The sequence below is a fragment of the Homo sapiens genome, chromosome 13, assembly GCF_000001405.40.
Source record: "Homo sapiens chromosome 13, GRCh38.p14 Primary Assembly".
NCBI lineage: Eukaryota > Metazoa > Chordata > Mammalia > Primates > Hominidae > Homo > Homo sapiens.
In genome coordinates, this window is record NC_000013.11 from 25589839 (window position 1) to 25610665 (window position 20827).

General features: G+C 38.6%; 1 protein-coding gene across 13 annotated transcripts in view; it reads left to right on the forward strand.

The window, feature by feature from the left end:
- ATP8A2 (ATPase phospholipid transporting 8A2) overlaps window positions 1-20827 on the forward strand; it is a 653878-nt gene that overhangs the window by 217865 nt on the left and 415186 nt on the right. The gene's annotated exons all lie outside the window — the stretch shown is intronic.

Consider the following 20827-nt stretch of genomic DNA (forward strand, 5'->3'; position numbering starts at 1 on the left):
TATTTAAGAATGGATGTCAGAAAGCCTTATCTTTAAACATCAAAACAGTAAGCTTAGAATATTGCCTCATGATAATACTTTTATTCATCTAGAATTGTGCATTTAAAATGGGATAGTTTTAATCTGATTTAGCTTTAATCATTAAGTATGAAATATTAGTGGAACCTATTATGACCTACATTAAATGGTGATGGTTAATTTCACTATAAGTTACTAAGGAGACATGTATGATTTTCTTTCTAGCACAAACTTTAGAATAAAACTAATATTCAAGTGTTAAGCATTGTTTAAATTTATATAGTGAGGCCAGGTGCAGTGGCTCATGCCTGTAATCCCAGCATTTTGGGAGGCGGAGGCAGAAGGATCGCTTTAACCAAGGAGTTCCAGACCAGCCTAAGCAACACAGCAGGACCTCATCTCTACAAAAAATGGAAAAATTGGCCAGCCGTGGTGGCATATGCCTGTAGTCCCAGCTGCTTGGGAGGCTGAGGCTGGAGAATTGATTGAGCCTGGGATGTGGATGCTACAGTGAGCCGTGATCGTGCCACTGCTTTCCAAGCTGGGTGACAGAGTGAGACTCTGTCTTGAAATAATAATAATACATTCGTATAGTAATAGGATACATGTATACTTAATTCTCTGATGTCCCAATGCTGCCGCATGAACCCACCCCATCATGGCATAAAGCCACTGAACAGACCAGCAGTGGGAGCTGATTTGAGGGTCACCAGCAACCTGTGAAGTGGTTTGATATGAAAATATGAGCTGAACAATGAGATTCCACTTGTCAGAACTTTTAACAAGGGCTTTGTTACTGGCAGGCACCCATAGCACCCTTTCAGGCAGTATATTTAATATTTATATTTAGCCAATGCCAGGGGCAGATGGCACGGTTAATTACTCTTTTAAAGGGAGGCAATAAAGTACAGAGCTTTCTATACTTGCAAATTGAGAGGGCCATAACTCCTATCGTGAACACCAGGATACTCTCTACCCCTTCATGAGACCAAGGGCAGGAGGCAGGGGGAGAGTCCGTAGTTCTGTATGTTTCCAAGGCACCACTGGCAAGAGACCACCCTCTGGCGTGAGTGCTTCAGAATTCATCTCGGTACACCTCCTATCCTTGTTCATGTTACTGCCTGCAGGCAGCCCAGAGTCCCAGGTCATACCTCATCTCCTGGAGTCTAATTCTCACATGCTCTGAGGAAATCTCTCCTCTACCCAAGTGTTTCAGTCTTCCCCCTCTCACACGTCTTTATTTTTCTCCATGGAACCTCTCATCATTGGAAATACTATGTGTGTGTGTGTGTGTGTGTGTGTGTAAATTGTTGTGAAATACATCATTTAAGTGTACAGTTCAGTGGCATTAAGTATATTCATATTGTTGTGTAACCATCACCACTATCCATCCACAGAACTCTTTTCATCTTCCCAAACCAAAATTCTGTGCCCCTTTGAACAACTACTCTCCATTCCCACACCTACCTCATCCCCTGGCAGTCATTCTGCTTTGTGTCTCTATGAATTTCACAGCTGTAAGTACCTCGTGTAAGTTCAATCATATAGTATTTGTGATTTTTATGACTAGCTCATTTCATGTAACATAATGTCTTCAAGGTTCATCCATATCGGACCATGTGTCAGAATTTCGCTCCTTTTTAAGGCTGATTAATATTCCATTGCATGCCTATACTACATTTTGTTGATTCATTAATCCATCAGTGGACAGTTGAGTAGCTTATAACTTTTTTTTTTTTTTTTTTTTGAGACGAAGTCTCACTCTCTTGCCAGGTTGGAGTGCTGTGCCAAACGAGGCTCACCGCAACCTCCAATTCCTTGGTTCAAGTGATTCACCTGCCTCAGCCTCCTGAGTAGCTGGGATTACAGGCATGCGCCACCATGCCTGGCTAATTTTTGTATTTTTAGTAGAGATGGAGTTTCACCATGTTGGCCAGGATGGTCTCAATCCAACTTTTGACTATTGTGAATAGTGCTGCTATAAATGTGGATATACAAATATCTTTTTGAGATCCTGCTTCTAATTTTTGGGGACATATACCCAGAAGTGGAGTTGCTGAATCATATGGTAATTTTACATTTCACTTTTTGAGGAACAGCCATACTGTTTTTTTACAGCAGCTGCATCGTTTTATATGGTTTGTGATTTTTCCATATTCTTGCCAACACTGGTTTTTTTTTTTTTAATAGTAGCCACTCTAATGGGTTTGAGAGTGGTATCTCATTGGAGTTTTGATTTGTATTTCCCTAATTATTAGTGACAATGGACATCTTTACATGTGCCTTTTGGTCATTTGTATATCTTCTATGGAGAAATGTCTATTCAATCCTTTGCCCATTTTTTAATCAGGTTTTTTTTCAGTGTTATGACATAATTTGTATTTTTTCTACCTCCCTTTAGTCCCTTAGACTGTAAGGTCCATGGTTAAAAACCTGTTTAAAAAAACTGGGCATCTCCACCTTCAAGACCTTGCTTTGCACATATTATGCACTCAGTAAATGTTTGAATGAATGAACAAGCTTAAGATAATTTTCTAGTCATCAATAAGAATTTCTATTTAAAAGTCATGCTGATGAGATAGTGGCTACAGTAGCCATGAGGGGCTGAGTACAAGTTGATGTTACTAAGAAGTAGAAAATGAGTAAGCCAAAACACCGCATCGGTGGACAGGAGAGCAGAGTGCTCCTGCAGAAAGGCTCCTAGAACCCTTGGATGTGTGCACATACCTTATGAACACACCCACAGTGTCTGTACTTGAGGCTTCCTTTTTTTCTGATGATTTTCTGGTTCAAAGGTATCTCTAACCTTGAAAAAAGCCTCCTTTTTCTGGAGGTAACTCAGAAATGAGCCTCTGTTTTCCCCTTATATCAGATGTTTTCTGGAGTCCAAGAGATGAACTTTAACTCTACATACACATTGAGACTTCTGGTTTACCTAGACCAAAGAGTGGTTTGTGACGCCAAACTGAGAAGGGTTTTATGGGTGTTTTCCTGACTTGCCTTGGTTTAACCTTCTAAGAATGATTCTTTCTTAACTAATTTTGAACTTCATCTTTTAGTATAATGACTGTAATTTATTCAGTATCTACTGAGCAGAGGTGCACTTTCTATGTACTGTTTTTGTTCATTATTCAAAAGGACACTCCATATTTCTGACTAGTGTCTACTGAGGAAGATTCTACTCCTTCCTTGCCTTCTCCTCCCTCTCATGCTTTAGTTGGGTTAAAACCATTCCTATTCTTATTAAAATCGTATTTGGTGGTGGGGAGGGGGATAAAAGCAGCGTCCTAGCGCAATAAAGTAGATATACAGTAGAGCTTTGGTGGAGCTCCCAGGTTGAGAATTTAAGTCTCAGGGCTCCAATAACAATGCAGATGGGACAGGGACACAGAAAATGGCCCAACAATTAGAAGCATTTGGCCTGGCTTCTCTTTATTTCATCTCTCATATAAGTGTGAGGGGATCCACACCTGGCCCCTATCAGTTTCATCAGACCAGTAAGTATGGCCAGGTTCGGACTCCAAATGCTGTAAACAATTAGGATTTATGTCTGTGTTTTGAGTTTGTCATATGCTGCCAAAATAACTTCTAAGCTCCATAATATAGATGAGATCAGTGGTCTTTGAACAAGGTGGAGTGATGGTGTGCACCCCAGGGGGACACTAGATGATATATTAAAATGCTGGAAAAAAAGTTGTGGTTTCCTATTTTTTCAGTTAGAAAAGTACTGAGAGATTAGCTTTATTGATAATACGTAAGGATTGCCACTGGCATCCTCAATTTTTTTTCCTGGCACACTGACCAGAAATTGGTCTGAGAGGAATGGGTAGGAGGAGGGAGGCATGGCGTTTCAAGTGAGAAAGGTTGTTACTGAGACTCTCACTCTTTGATTTGCTTTTAGCCAATTGTGAAATATTGCCATTCATGTGTATTGGTTAAATGGACTTGTGGACTAGAGTTAGTTTTCATTAAAATGACTCTCACAGATGCTGACTTAATAGAATTCCTGTTAAAAAAATAAGTGAATTGAGGATAACAACATTGTAAGCAGAAGCTGCAATAATTTGCCTTGCTCAATGTGTGTGCTAGTTCCAGCTCTTCTCAGCTACTTGATAGTTAAAACAGTGATCTGATCTGACAGACACAGCAAATTTCAAAATTATTCACAAGATTATTATAATTAACCATAAACTTTGTCCTAAATGTATATGGTATCTTGAAATATTAGCTGTGGTAACATGAAATTGTAGGAATTAATGAGATTTTAAAAACTAAGAATCTTGAGTAAGAGAATAAAAATCTACAACTTTACCAGCAATTTATTTTTTAAAGAATGTAGTAATCTAATCATTTACTCTAAAATTTCACAAAATCTACTGCAAATTCGTGAATGATAAATGTCTTTGATATTTGTTAGTAAAGGACAAAAAGTGCTGAGTTACTTGGAGAGCATTTGGTTTTCCTGCTGCAATAATATAGAGAACGCAGTGTAGCAATAATTAAGTTGAATATGGGTGGAAGACCTATACAAAACCTTGCCAGGATTTATGTGTGTGTGTGTGTATTTAAAAAATTTTTTATTTCTATAGGTTATTAGTGAACAGGTGGTATTTGGTTACATGAGTCAGTTCTTTAGCGGTGGTTCGTGAGATTTTGGTGCACCCATCACCCGAGCAGTATACACTGAACCCGATTTGTAGCCTTTTATCCCTTCCCACCCTTTCCCCCAAGTCCCCAAAGTCCATCGTGTCATTCTTATGCCTTTGCATCCTCATAGCTTAGCTCTCACTTATGAGTGAGCACATACGATGTTTGGTTTTCCATTCCTGAGTTACTTCACTTGGAATAATAGTCTCCAATCTCATCCAGGTCACTGTGGGAATGTAAACTAGTACAACCACTATGGAAAACAGTGTGGAGTGTCCTTAAAGAACTAAAAGTAGAACTACCATTTGATCCAGGAATCCCAGTACTGGGTATCTACCCAGAGGAAAAGAAGTCATTGTACAAAAAAGATACTTGCACACACATGTTTATAGCAGCACAATTCACAGTTGCAAAAACCTGGAACCAACCCAAATGCCCATCAAACAACGAGTAGATAAAGAAACTGTGGTGTGTGTGTGTGTATATATATATATATATATATATGTATGTATGCGTATATGTATATGTATATATATATATAATGGAATACTACTCAGCCATAAAAAGGAATGAATTAATGGCATTTGCCAAGGTTTCTAAGAAACAAGTAATTAAACAAATTGTGAAACATAAGAGATTTACTACATATTTGGATAAAAGTGTAGTTTCTAACGTGTTTCAACGTATGGAATAAACCAAAGGTTATTGTTATTGAGAGGCCATCAAAAGAAAGATGTACTGGCAAAGATGTGTTTGCTCAGAGCAAAGCATTAATTCTTTAACACAAAAGGTTTTATGAAATAAGTATGTACAGTCACTGATGGAATGGCTACTGTGGAATGAAAATGGAATCAGATAAAATTCATTAATGATGCCTGCGGCAGAGACTACATTTTCCAGCCTCTCTGTGGATGGGTGTGGCCATAAGATTAAATTCTCACTGGTGGAATGTGAGCAGAAGTGAGGTGCGACCTTGTGCATTACCCATTGAGAAGGAAATCTCTTGCCCTGGTTCCTCAGCCCTTCCCATTTTGCTGGCTGGAAATGGTATAAGGCTGGAGCTACTTTGGGGGCTATTTATTGGCAACATCAGAGTTGCTCCCCTCGATTGGGCCCCTGGATGACTTTGGGAAACAGAATCTGCAGATTCCCTCTGGAATGTTTTTCTGAGAAAAGGTTATATATTTTGAACTGTTGCATAGGTGGTAGTCTCTTTGTTTATCCTCACCCTACTAATCGTACAGAACCTGATATTAAAAGTAGGGTCAATACATGGTGCTCCAGCATGACACAGTGCAGGGCTGTCCTCAGAGAGAGAGGAGGAGGGTCTGATGCTGCTGGCCAAGGAGAGCTAACAGGATTTGAAGGTCAAGGGATTTGGATTCATTCAAACCAATACATGTGTCCTCATTCAGGTTCTTAAGGTCCCACTCTTTCCCATCAGCGCCCTAACTTTCATGAAAGAGACCTGGTTAGTCTAGGACTACAACATTCATTGAATTCTACAACCCACAGAATTAACTTTTTAGGCTGCATATGTCGGGCTGCTATGAGAGAAGAGGTTCTCTTAGTCTGTCATAGAGACTCTCTTGTCTTCTGACTTTGTCTTGACCTCTGATTTTGCAATTTTCATTCTTTAAGCTTCCCAGTGCAGTGAGAAGTGGCTGACCTATCCTTAATCTTGTATTATTTCTGCTCTAATGGTATATTTCAGTAGCTGCTTGATCTGCCACAGACTTGGCTTTAATAGGCAGTTGTTACAAATTGATCACAGGTAATGATTTTAAATCAGCTCTATTGAGATACAGTTTACATACCTACAATTAAATGTACCAATTTTAAGTGTACATGGTGATATATTTTGACAAATGTATATAAGCATGTAATCACCACCCCATTTAAAATATTGAACATTTACATGATCTCAAAAAGTTCCAGCCCTCCATATCCCCAGGCAAGCACGCGGACCTTCTTTCTAACACAATGGATTAATTGTGCTTGCTTAGAATTTCATATGAAGACTGTCTTTTTGTCTGGCTTCTTTCATTCAACACAATTATTTTGATATTCATCCATGTTGCTGTGTGTATCATCTGTTCATTCCTTTTTTCGCTGGGTATTTCATTTTATGGATATTCCACAATTTGTTTATTCGTTCACCTGTTACAGGACATTTTCATTATTTTCAGTTTGAGGTTATTATGAATAAAGCTGCTGTAAGGGTTTTGTTCTGTGCAAGTTTTGGTGAACATCTGTTTTTGTTTTTCCTGGGTAAATAGCTAGGAGTAAAATTCTTAGATTAGAGGGAAGATATATGTTTAGCTTTATAAGAAATTGCCAAACAATTTCCATTTTACACTCCTGCTAGTATTACCTGCGAGTTTTCATTTTTGCGTATCTTCACCGGTGTTTGGTACTGTCAGTCGTTTTAATTTTAGCCATTCTAGTGGGTGTGTATTATTGATAATATCTCATTGTGACTTTAAGTTATATTTCCCTGATGACTAATCATGTTGATTTTCTTGTGCTTATTGGTCATTTAAAAATCTTCCTTTGTTGAAGTCTCTGTCAAACTTTTGCCCATTTAAAAAAACATGTTATATGCTTTTTAAAATTACTGAATTCTAAGAGTTTTCTGAATATATAATTTGGATATAAACCCTGTTTCATAGATGTCTGTTGCAAATTTTTTTTTTACCAATCTTTGTCTTGCCTATCCATTTTCTTACCAGTGTTAGGGAAAATAGACCCTAGGCTGGCCTCCAATAATTCCTGCCTCCTGGTGTCTACACCTTTGCCTAATTCCCTCCCCTTGAGTGTGTGTGGAACCTTTGACTTGATTTTAACCAGTAGAATATGGCAAAGGTAATGGAATGTCACTCCCTTGCATGATATAAGAGTCCATCTTAGCAGATTGGAGTGAGAGACTTTTCTCCATTGATGGCTTTAATAAGTAACTGGCTATGTTGTGAGAAGGCCTATGGAGAGGGCCATGTGGCAAGAAATTGCAGACAGCCTCTAGTAGCTGAGAGTGGCCAAGCCTACAGCCAGCAAGAAAATGGAGACCTCAGTCCGACAATCACCAAGAGATGAATCCTGCCAACAACCTGAGGAAGGCTGGAAACAGGTACTTCTCCAGTCAGGCCTTGAGGTGAGACTCCAGCTTAGCCAACACCTTGATTACAGCCTCATGAGGTCCTAAGCAGCAGATTTAGCTAAGCTGTGCATGGATTTCTTATGAGAAATTGAGATGATAAATATGTGTGGTATTCTACGTTGCTAAATTTCTGTTAATATGTTTCATAACTATAGAAAAGCAGTATAAACACCTTTTGAAGAGCCAGAAGTTTTTTGTTTTTTTTTTTAATTTTGTTGAAGTCAAAATTTCTTTCTCATTTTCTTCTTCTTTTGCTGTGATTAGAGCTTTGGTGCTCTCTAAGAGATATGTACTTACTCTAGGACTGGGAAGAGTGCCTCTTGTGTTTACTTCCAGGAGTTTTGTAGTTTTAGCTTGTAAGTTTAAGTCTGTGATCCATTATTGTGCATGGTATGAGGTAAGGATTGAGGTCCAGTTTATATCCCGTATAGTTATCTAGTGTTTACAGCATCATTTGTGAAAAATACTACTACTTCATCATTGAAATACCTGTGCTTTTGTTGGAAACCTATTGAGCATATATGTGACTCTTCCTCGACCCTCTAATTTATTGCATTTGTGTATGTATCCCTCTTTGTGCCCAATTCCACATTGTCTTCAATATGATAACTTTATAACAAGTCTTGAGATCCTCCAACTTTATTTTTTTTAAAGACTGTTTTGGTCGTTTCAGGACCTTTGCATTTCTGTATACATTTTAGAATCAGGCTGTAGATTCCTCCAGAAAGCCTATTGGGATTTTTATGGAGATTTTCCGAAAATTTATGTGTGGATTTAATGCAATTTGACACTTTAATGGGATTGATATTTGCATTCTATGAACGTGGGATATCTCTCATTTACTTAGGTCTTTAAAATTACTCTCAGCAGTATTTTGTAGTTTTCAGTGTACAGGACTTGTGCACGTCAAATTTGCTTTTTCTGATTATAATGGCTCCTTTTGATTCTTCCATTTCTCTTCATTGTATTTATGCATTCCTTTTAATCCTTTAATATTGTTATGATAGCTCATTTAAATTCCTCCTCTGCTAATTCCACTTCTTTGTCATTTATGGGTCTGTTTCTATTTGCTTACTTCTTTTGTTTGTTATAGGTCACATTTTTCTGTTATTTTGCATGTCTAGTAATTTTTTTTATTGTATGATGGTTATTTTGTGATTGAGTGTCTAGATTCTGTTGTTTTCTTTTAAAGAATATTGTGTTTTGGCAGGCAGTTACTTGTGAGTTTATAGTTTACTCTAGAACTACTGCAGCTTTCCTACCAAGTTATAACCTGTTGGTGCTGCTGCCTAAGACCCCAAGTGTTCCCTATGGTTTTTCCACTGTCAGTGCTGGAACTTAAGTATCTTCCAATCATGCATGAGCCCTGGGAATTTTTTTTTTTATCTTACAGCACTGATAGTTGTTCTTTTTTCATATATATGAGAAAAAATATATGTATCTATTTTAGGGTTTTCTTTCCCCAAATTTCATGTCATGTCCCTGTACATGTGCATAAATTAGCATTTGCTTAAAGAGCCAAGGGGACCCTTACAGATGCTTGAGCTCTTTCTCTGTGCAGTTCCTTCTCTCCCATATGCTGCTTTGCAGCTCCTAGCCACCCAGCATTCTCTAACATTCTTTGTCTCCTCATAGCAGTGAGAACATCATCCTCTGGGTTCCTCTTCCCTGAATCACAATTTGGGAAGTACCTCTGGTTAGAAAGCTTCAGCTGTCATCGGCTCACCTCATGAACTTCTCTTCTTCTGAGGATTGTCTTCCTGTGTTGCCTGTTATCCAGTGTCTGAAAACAGTGTGTTTCATACACTTTCCCAGTTTTCTGGCTGTTTATAAATCTTGTATACTAGTTACTTTACCACGCCTAGAGGCAAAATGTAAGTAATCACTCTGCCTCTGTCTTTGATAAATATTAATTTCCAGTTTAAAGACCTGTATCACTTGGGTTTTTCTTTTGTAATAATTTATTGCCCCTAGTGTGTGGCCAGTTATCTCTGATTTTGAGAATTCCAGGGAAACTTAGCTGGATCAGGAGAAAAGAAGACCAGAATAGTGCATCTGTTTCACCTCTGGGTTCCAGGGACGAGGCAGGATGATGACTGCAATGGCAAGGAAAGCCATTGAATGATCACTTCAGTAGCTATTTTGGTCCTACTTGCCATGGACAGCTAATATCTTTTTTCCACTGATGATTAGGTCATCAGTGCCTTCAAACCCAAGCAAAAGAAATAATTAATGCCAGTTTTTCACCTTTGGAATATTTCTTAGAACCACTTCTGATACCAACTATAGGAACAGTCAGAGTTCCATGCAGGAAATGGTGACCGTCAAGTTCTGCTCAGGAGATAAAAACCACATCTGGTCTCTGAACAGAGTGGTTTCAATGTTAAGAATTGTTAATTAAGTTATGGAGTTTGCTAACTAGGTAACTAAGAGTACAGTAAGAAAACTCTAGGGCAGGGATTGGCAAAGTACAACCCTCAGGAGAAATCTGACCCAACATCTCTTCCTGCAAATAAAGTTTCATTGAACACAGACATCCCCAAGGCTAGGTTAAAGAAGTGATTGTCAAGGGAATTGCGAGCAGACAAGAAGCAAACAAGAAGGAGCACATTTCTTTCTTTGTCTCCAGCTTTGGAGTCTCTCATTCTCTCTCTGCCCCTCTCCTGCTGGCAGGGCCTAGAGCCACCTGTGAGTGAGGAGTGTGGTTGGTAGTTCCTACTCCAGTAGCATAGGCTGAACACAGAAGGGAGCCTGGACAGTGAGAGATGTTAACAGCTGGCACAGAAATGAATTTCAAGTGTAAAGATTTAAAATAGGAAATTAGGTGCTTGTGAAATTATTGGGAAAGTGGAAGGAGCGGAAGGAGCAGAAGCCAGCGAGCCCTAGAGAGGCTTCAGGTCCATGCCCTGCAGCTTTGTTCCCGGAGTCAGAGCACTATTGCTGCTACCCAGGAGACCTCAGGGAGCCACTGCCAACGTCCTGGCATCCTTACACCCATGAAGCCAGGTCGAGATGGTAGAATGTGGTCTCTTCATGCTCTCTCTCCTCTCTGTCTTCCCAATCTTAAGCAAATGCATCTTGTTGATAGAATTCATGCAGCATCTTGGTAAGAAAGGAGTCTAAGAAATATGGCTTTAAGCCTTCCAGTCTCTGAAATACAGGGAAGAACATGGAAGAAGACAGAAATAAATACCGAAGCCAGCAGATAATATCTAGCACCAGCTCACCTGTAGGCAGGAAGTAGGCATCAGGAGGACACGGGATACTACAAGATCGCACGGATGTGGTCTATTCCATAAAAGTCAGACCTTTAACATTCAGTCGATTCTTCATGGTACTTTGCAGTGACAGGTAGAGTGACCATGAACATCTCGTGGACCACACAGAAGTTGACTATTTTGTTTCTGTTGTTATTCTCATGACAAAGAACAGTTGTCCAGGTTAAAGATGATGAAGGATGGCATAAGGGTCAAGACAACATCTGGGGCGCTAACAGGGTGAAACTCCTGCTTTCTGTACTTAGAAAAGTCTTTGCCCTATGGTAAATTCTCATAGTAAGTCGTAGTTAACTATTTTCAACTTTTCTTTTAGAAAAGTCCAGTTTTCCAATTTGATCTTTTCTCTGATGACAGGTGGTTCGTGGTAAGCGATCTACACATGTATAATATGCATAGGCATAATGTCATCATTTGTTGCTTTAAGATGAATACGATGTTTTCATGTGGGATATGATGAAGGCTTTTTTGGGTTTAGAGAGACCACTTTGAAAAGATATGTTTAGAAATAATTAAATTGTTTGTTTTGTTTTGTTTTGTTGTTTGTGTTGTTTTTTGAGACGGAGTCTCGTTCTGTCACCCATGCTGGCGCCATCTCAGCTCACTACAACCTCTGCCTCCTGGGTTCACGTGATTCTCCTGCCTCAGCCTCTCAAGTAGGTGGGACTACAGGCGCGCTACAGGCATGCACCACCAGGCCCGGCTAATTTTTGTTTTTAGTAGAGACAGGGTTTCACCATGTTGGCCAGTTGCTGTCGAACTGAACTCAAGTGATCCACCCACCTTGGCCTCCCAAAGTGCTAGGATTACAGGCGTGAGCCACTGCGCCCGGCCAGAAATGCTTGTATTGTTAACGTGATTTTTTATTACACAAAATGTGGGTCACATATTTTAAACAGAATACTAAGCAGCCTCTCCAGTAACAAAAGCTCATGGTCCGTTGAGTGCTTTTTCATGAGTGCCTAGCACTTTATATAAATTATCTCTCTTAACCCTCTTAGCAACTCTGTAAGGTCATGAAATATTCTTTTTTCAAGGTTATTGCTAAAATTTTTGATAGAAACTTTCTATTTTTTTTTCCTACCATCTGCTAAAAAATTCCTGATACTCTTGCCTACTTGGTAAGATTACTTTGTAATTAAACTTGCTTATCAACATTTTTTGTGTGTGTGAAGGTAGTAAGATTGTGGTATACTAGAAATGTTGCTTGAACAATTTTTTTCTAATTTGTTTTTAGGCATGTCCAATTAATAATTCTTTTAATCCTTTGAAGGCACTTGCATTTTAAGGTCAGAGAGACAATTATAAAACATTTTTTCTTAGGGTTCTGTAGTAAGTGTTATTGAGGAATGTCAGCAGGATGAGGAAACAGGGCTGGCGGGGAGGGGAGAAGCTGCTGTGTTGTGTAGGTGGTAAAGGAAATGCTCTCTAATGAGATGACTTTGGAGCCGACTTGCTGGGAGGGAACCATGGGGCTGTCTGGACAGGAGATGGCACCTCCCACTTTGCCTGGAGCAGTCTCAATTTGCACCTGTTTTCCTGGCATAGATTTAAGACTCCCCTTTTTACTCCCAAAGTGCCTTGGTTTGGAGGGTAAAATTGTATGATCACCCTGTATCTGGAGGAATTGTGCTTCAGGCAGATGGTCCAGCAAATGCAGAGGCAAAGGCCGATGCTCCCCACTGCATTTGAGCAGTGTGTGGCTGGAGGGGAGAGTGAAGAGGGAGCCAGAGAGACAGCATGAACTCATCCTGTAGCAGTGTAGAGCATTGTTAGGAGATTCTGAGTGAAATGGGTGTCATTGGAATCTGAGAAGAGTGACATGATCTGATTTACCTTTTAAAAGGATATCTGGGCCAGGCACAGTGGCTTATGCCTGTAATCCCAGCACTTTGGGAGGCAGAGGCGGGCAGATCATGAGGTCAGGAGTTCAAGACCAGCCTGGCCAATATGGTGAAATCCTGTCTCAACTAAAAATACAAAAAAATTAGCCAGGCATGGGGGGGTGTGCCTGTAGTCCCAACTACTTGGGAGGCTGAGGCAAAAGAATTGCTTGAACATGGGAGGTGAAGGTTGCCGTGAGCCGAGATCGTGCCACTGCACTCCAGCCTGGGCAACAGAGTGAGACTCCATCTCTAAATAAATAAATAAGTAAAAGGGTATCTGTTCTTCTTTGTGTCTCTGTGTATTTGACTCCTCTAGGTCCCTCATGTAATAGTCTTATTGCTCTTTGACTTGGTAATGAATACTCTACCATTAAAAGGAGTCTTGGCTAGGCACGGTGGCTCACGCCTGTAATCCCAGCAGTTTGGGAGGCCAGAGTGGTTGGGTCGCTTGAGCCCAGGAGTTCAAGAGCAGCTTGGGCAACATGGTGAAACCCTGTATCTACAAAAAATACAAAAAAAATTTAGCCAGTGTGGTGGTGCTTGCCTGTAGTCTCAGCTACTTGGGAGGCTGAGGTGGGAGGATGGCTTTAGCCCAGGTGGCAGAGGCTGCAGTGAGTCGAGCCTGGGTGACAGAATGAGACTCTGTCTCAAAAAAAAAAAAAAAAAAATTTTAAAAAGAGTATCTGGCTGCTGGAGTGAGCAGAGACTAAAGCTGAAGGGAGGCAAAGGCATGGAGGCAGGAGCCCACCTAGTAGCTGGGGATGCTGATCCAGGCAGAAGATGATGGGGGTGTTGGAGTGGAGGTTGTGGTATTGGTGATGGGAGGTGGTGAGATTCTGGGCATATAGTATTTTGATAGTAAAGCTGACAGGGTTTGCTGATGTATTGGATGTGGGATAGAAGAAGGTTAAGACCCGAGGGGTTTGGATCTGAGCAATTGGAAGGATCAGGTTGCCATTTCTGAGAAGAGGAAGACCATAGGAGGAGCAGGTAAGGTGGGGGAATAAGGAATCTTTTTTGGGCATTTTAAGGTTGAGATAACTCTTAGATATCCTTAGGGCAGTTGAATATGTGTGTTTGGGAAATCAGGGGAAAGGTCTATTATGGAGAAAAATACTGAGTAATAGTCTGTGTAGTGTTTTCAATTCTGTGAGGCTGAATCAGGTCACCAGGATTGATAAGAGATAGCAAATCTCAAGAATTCAGCTCTTGTGGGTGGTGGGGTGGGGGGTACTTCATTGTTTAAAAGTTTGAGAGAGGAGAGGCAGCAAAGGAGATCAAGAAAATATGGCCATTGAGGTAAGTAGAGAAGCAAGAGAGTTTGAGAAAATATGGACATTGAGGTAAGTAGAGAAGCAAGAGGGTTTGGCATTTTGGAAACCAACTGGAACAAAGTCTTTCAAGAAGAAGGGAAGGAACTGCTGTATTAAATGCTGCTAATGGGTTCAGTGAAATGAGGTCTGAGAAATAATTATTGGATTTAGCAGCGTGGAGGTCATGGGTGACTTGTCAGGAGCTGTCTGGGGCATTATGGAGATGAATGCTTGATTGGAGTGAGTGCAAGGAATTGGGTGGAGAACAACTGGAGAAAACAAAAGAAGTTTACAGTGAGTTTTGCTGAAACTTCTTGTAGGTCTTAGGTTAGCATGGTAATGGATTTCCCTATCATGGTGAGCAAATTAATGGGTAACTTTATTTTTCCAAAATGTGTAGTAAACTATGATTTTTAAAGTAATTCAACCAATAAAATGAATATTCTTTCTTTTAACATTTCCTCTGTTTAATTGAAAGTGGTAGATATTTGTTATTAATGGTCTTGAAATAATTATTTGAATCAGTCAGAACTTTAAACTTAATGTACCAAGCTCTTTATAATCTAAGAATCTTATTTTTGTTTATGCTTTTCACAAAACAAAGGTGGGTAGTATTAGTATTCCTGTATTCTACTGTAGCTACATAACAAATCATTCCCATCCAATGGGTTTGTTTTTGATAGATAGTCCATGTTTGTGAAATCTAGCTTTTGGAAGGGGTGGAACTCAAAAGTCCTTGTCCGTCTTTTGTGCTAATGGTACTCTTGAAAGCCCCAACTCACAGAGAGAGACAGGCATGCATCATCTGTCAGGGAGCCTGACAACTCTTGACTTACCACTGTTGGCTTTCTAAGTGAAGAAAATCAGTAATTACATGGTGCATCATAAAGGTATATCATGAAAAATGTTGAATGTCAACAGCGATGATGGTTCTTAAGCTGAGATAACAACCTACTTTGTTGTGACAATGGAGTCTCAGGGTATTGTAAGAGAAAAATTATTATATGAAAGGCTAACATCTGTCAAGTTCCTTCGTCAGTGAACTTTATTCTGTGGTCAAATTTCTAAGCATAGTTCTTCCTATATAAGGTAACTTATGTAGACCTGGACATGTTTTATTTGGAATGACTTCCATGATGTGTCTAAGACAGAACCTTTGATGTAGTTCACTTGATTAATGGGATTATAGCCATCAAGCTTTGTTCTGAGGATAATTTAGGTTTTCTGGCAATCTAATAGTTTTAAACCTCATTTGCCCACATTTAAAATTACCCAATTCATTTAATGTTGAAAAATATATATTAATGAGGAAAAAGAAAAATGAAAAATGTTCTCTGGGTAGACTTCCATTACCCAGAGAACTGGAATAAGTAGAAGTATATAGTTTATATAAATTTTTGGCTCTTTTAATTCACTAATAATACAATAACCTTGTGTGTATGTAGTGTATATACATATATGCCTGTGTGTATATTGGTAGCCATTTTTTAAAAAATGCAACTACTCACAATAGATATTCATGTTAACCTAGTTTTTTCTCTCGTAGCTGAGATTGTATCTCTAGATCAACTAATATGTAGCTGCAGCTCGGTTTTAGAGAACTATGTAGATAACATTTTGTATATTTCTGTGATTTATTTAAACCTTCTCTTACTTTTGGACATTGAGGTTGTTTCTAACCTTTAATGTCTAGGAAAAGATCTCATTTTGTTTTCTACTGTTTATTTTGTTAGAATAAATTCCTAGAAGGCTCCTAGGTCAAGAGAAATATGCCTTCTTGAGTGGAGGTAATCTATATTCACACACACTTAACACACGTATGTACATATAAATCCATATACTCCTTCTTGCCCTCCAAGTAAATTCTGCCAGTTTAATTGTAATTTATTTACTAGGGAATGAAAAGAGCTTACCACAGTTCTGCACGGGTAATATAAATGTTGGAAATGTGGGTATTTTCTCAGTGTTGTTTGTGGAATTAAAATCCTCTGAAATGAGGTTGCATTTAATATGTTCTAAATTTGAGGCTATCATAGCAAAAATGATATCTTAATAGATGGCTGCATAGCTCATAACCTGAAACACTGATGAACTTTCCATTTACATAGCTGTCTCCTGCCTTTCCTATTTGATGTGCCATAGGAGGTGAACCATGAAAGGTAGTAGCTGTTGCTGACACTGCTTCTGTTTGAATGATTATTTTCTTTTAAATTTTCCAATCTTAATTGTACGATTTAAGAACATGTTGAAGAAGAATGATTCATTGGCAGGTAAAAACTAAAGCCTACTCTATAAGTTGGAACATGGTTATTATTTCTTAGAGATTAGCTCTCTACTCTGCTTTCAATAGGGAAGTTCTTGACTTATTAAATTGCCAGTCTCCTTCATCCAGCTGAATGGTCTAGTTCTTCTACTTAAATTTAAATTATAAGCCTACTGGAAAGTATTTTTGTCCAACTGAGCATATTCATTTCGTTATTCAGGTACTTTTGCCCCTTATTACCAGGAAATTAAATGTAAAAATAGTGTGAAACAAAATGATTGGTATACTTAAACACCCCCAGACACCCATCCACCCACACATTTTCTATAGAGGGTTAATGAGAAGTGAAAATGTTTTTCTGTGCTATCCATTGTAATAGTTGCTAGTCACATGTGGTTATTAATCACTTGAAACATAACTAGTTTGGTTGAGGAACTATCAATTTTAAGTAATTTAAATTTTAATAGCCACATGTGACTAGTGGCTACTGTACAAGGCAGCAGAGTGTAGATAATTTTCAAGGGTCCCCGACCCCCAGGGCACGAAACAGTACTGGTCCATGGCCTGTTAGGAACTGGGCCACACAGCAGGAGGTGAGTGGCAGGCGAGCTCCCATTTACCACGTGAGCTCCACCTCCTGTCAGATCAGCAGTGGCATTAGATTCTCACAGGAATGGGAACCCTATTGTAAACTGGGCATGTGAGGGATCTAGGTTACATGCTCCTTATGAAAATTTAACTAATGCCCGATGATCTGAGGTGGAACAGTTTCATCTTGAAACCATCCCCCACAACCTGTGTTAAAATTATCTTCCACAAAACGGGTCCCTGGTGCCAAAACAGTTGGGGACTGCTGCCCTAGGACAAGGGCTGGCCAGCTCTGGCGAGTGCGACAAATCCAGCTCACCACTTGTTTTTATAAATAAAGTTTTATTGAAACACAGCCATGCACACTGATGTACTGTCAATGATCACTTCAATGCTACAAAGGCAGAGTTGAGTACAGATGCCCCTCGACTCATATTGGGTTTACTTCTGGATAAACCCATTGTAAGTTATAAGTTGAAAATAACGTTTAGTACTCTGATAAACCGATTGTTAAGTCAAAAAATCGTAAGTTAAACCATCAAAGTCAGTGACCATCTGTAGTTGCAACACAAACCGCATGGCCCACAAATTGTAACATATTTACTATCTGGTTCTTTACCAAAAGTTTAGTGACCCCCTGCCCTGTGTAATCAGATGGAAACTGACTCAATTCCAGTTCCATTGCCAGCTGTAGCTATATTTCTGAAACAGTGTTTTTAAAAATGTTAACAAGCATTTTTGGGAGAATTGGATCTATGGCTAATTTGAGAAGATGCAGAGTTGTAAATAATGAAGTAGATTCATCTACTACACTTTTTACACAATCTTTAATCCCCTTATTTCACTATAAATCATGCAGAGGTTTATTATATAGAATATTTTGTTAACCAAATTTATTTGACCAGTGATTTTCTTTTTTGGTAACTCTTGTTATAAGGGACACAGACTTAGAAATGCTGCTTTTTAAAAATAGTGAGTTTTCCTCTTAATAGATGATAGTAAAATAAGAAGCATGTGAAAGAGAATCCTCAGAGTAGGACAAAGGAGAAACGGATTGAATTAGTCTATTTTGTGTTGCTATAAAGGGAATACCTGTGCTTGGGTAATTTATAAGCCAAAGAGGCTTATTTGGCTTATGGTTCTGGGACTATACAAGAAGCATGGCACCAGCATCAACTTGGCTTTTGGTGAAGGCTTTTGTGCTGTGTAAAAACCTGTAGATAAGGTCAAAGAGGGAACAGGTATGCCAAGAGGGCCTGAACCCCACAATGGGGAGCAAATCTCCACATGAGATTTGGGGTGACAAAGCATATCCAAACCATAGCGTGCATATTTAATTTCTGGGTTTCATTAAAGCAACAGATATTTGAGTACTTTTAATAGGTCTGGCAGTTTGCCCAGGTTGTAGACATAGGATTACATGACAGTATGTTCTCTACTCTCAAGTTTCTGTTTGTGCTGTTATAAATTTGAGCAGTCATCATTAAATCTCAGCTATACATTTAAGTTCTGTTTGTGACAGTTGCCACAAAGGAAACGTCTAAGGTGCTAAGTATATATGGTTAGGAAAAATCTTGCAAACTTTTTCTGTAAAGGACTAGATAGTAAATATTTTAGGCTTTGTGTGCCATATGCTGTAGGTGTCACCTATTCAATTCTCCTGTTGTAATTAGAAAGCAGCTGCAGATGACACATAAACACACATCACACAGACAAATATGTCAGTGTGATTATGCCATACATACATCTATATCTATCTGCATTTGCATACTTCTCAAGCACTTTTCAAAAATGACCATACAAATCATAAAGTGTTAACAGAATTTTGGAGAACTGATTTTCATGCAGCTCATGTTCTGTGAGTGCTATGCCCTTGCCCAAGACCTTCAAAAAGGTCATCATACAAATCTTATATTCTTGGAAAATTAAAAACCTATACTTACAAATCCAGTGTCAAAGAGGAAATCACATTGGAAATTAGAAAATACTTAGAATTGAATGATTAAAAAATACTTTTGCATCAAATTCATGGGATATGAATATCCCAAAGAGGGAAATTTTTGTAGCCTTACCGATTAGATTACAAAATAAAAAAGACTTAAAATGAACAAGCTATACATACAATTTAAAATGTTAATAAAAGAGCAAGAGAAGATCAACAAAACCAATAGTAAGATTCTTCAAAAAAACTAATGAGATAGGCAACAAGCAAGTTGATGAAGGAAAAAAAGCAAAAAGATAAAAATAAACAATTTTAGGAATGAGAAAAGAGAAGTCACAGGTAGAGCAGTGAGTAGAATAACATAAGAGTACAATGAAGAACTAATTTGAAGCCTAGATGGAATGGCCAATTACCTAGGAAAAATCCATTGCATTCAAAATCAGGCTTGAATAAATAGAAAATGTGAATAGATTTGCAACTATTAAAGGAGTGGCCTCATTACGTACAATTTCTCTTAAAGAGAGAACACCAAATACCCATGTGATGCCTAGAGTGTAGTTTTGACAAGCATTAAAAGAATAAAGGATTCCAAATATATATATATTTGGGATTCAAATATATATATATATATTTGGATTCAAATATATATATATATTTGGGTTCAAATATATATATATTTGAATAATGTCTTATTTTCCTCTGGGTAGATACCCAGTAGTGGGATTACTGGATCAAATGGTAGATCTCCTTTTAGTTCTTTAAGGAATCTCCACACTGTGTTCCATAGTGGTTGTACTAGTTTACATTCTCACCAGCAGTGTAAAAGTGTTCTCTTCACTGCATCCACACCAACACCTATTTTTTTTTTTTTTATTATGGCCATTCTTGCAGGAGTAAGGTGGTATCCCATTGTGGTTTTGATTTGCATTTCTCTGATCATTAGTGATGTTGAGCATTTTTTCATGTTTGTTGGCCATTTGTATTTCTTCTTTTGAGAATTGTCTATCCATGTCCTTAGCCCACTTTTTGATAGGATTGTTTTTTTATTGCTGATTTGTTTGAGTTCCTTGCAGATTCTGGATATTAGTCCTTTATTGGATGTATAGATTGCAAAGATTTTCTCCCATTCTGTGGGTTGTGTGTTTACTCTACTAATTGTTTCTTCTGCTGTGCAGAAGCTTTTTTGTGTAATTAAATCCCATCTATTTATCTTTGTTTTTGTTGCATTTGCTTTTGGGTTCTTGGTTACAAAGTCTTTGCCTAAGGCAATGTCTACAGGGGTTTTTCCAATGTTATCTTCTGGAATTTTTATGGTTTCAGGTCTTACATTTAAGTCTTTGATCCATCTTGAGTTGATTTTTGTATAAGGTGACAGATAAGGATCTGGTTTCATTCTTCTACATGTGGCTTGTCAATTATCCCAGCATCATTTGTTGCAAAGGGTGTCCATTTCCCACTTTATGTTTTTCTTTGCTTTGTCGAGGATCAGTTGGCTGTAAGTATTTGGCTTTATTTCTGGGTTCTGTATTCTGTTTCATTGGTCTATGTGCCTATTTTTATATCAGTACCATGCTGTTTTGTTGACGATAGCCTTATAGTATAGTTTGAAGTCAGGTAATGTGATGCCTCCAGATTTGTTCTTTTTGCTTAGTCTTGCTTTGGCTATGTGGGCTCTCTTTTGGTTCCATGTGAATTTTAGGACTTTTTTTTCTAGTCCTGTAAGGAATGATGGTGCATT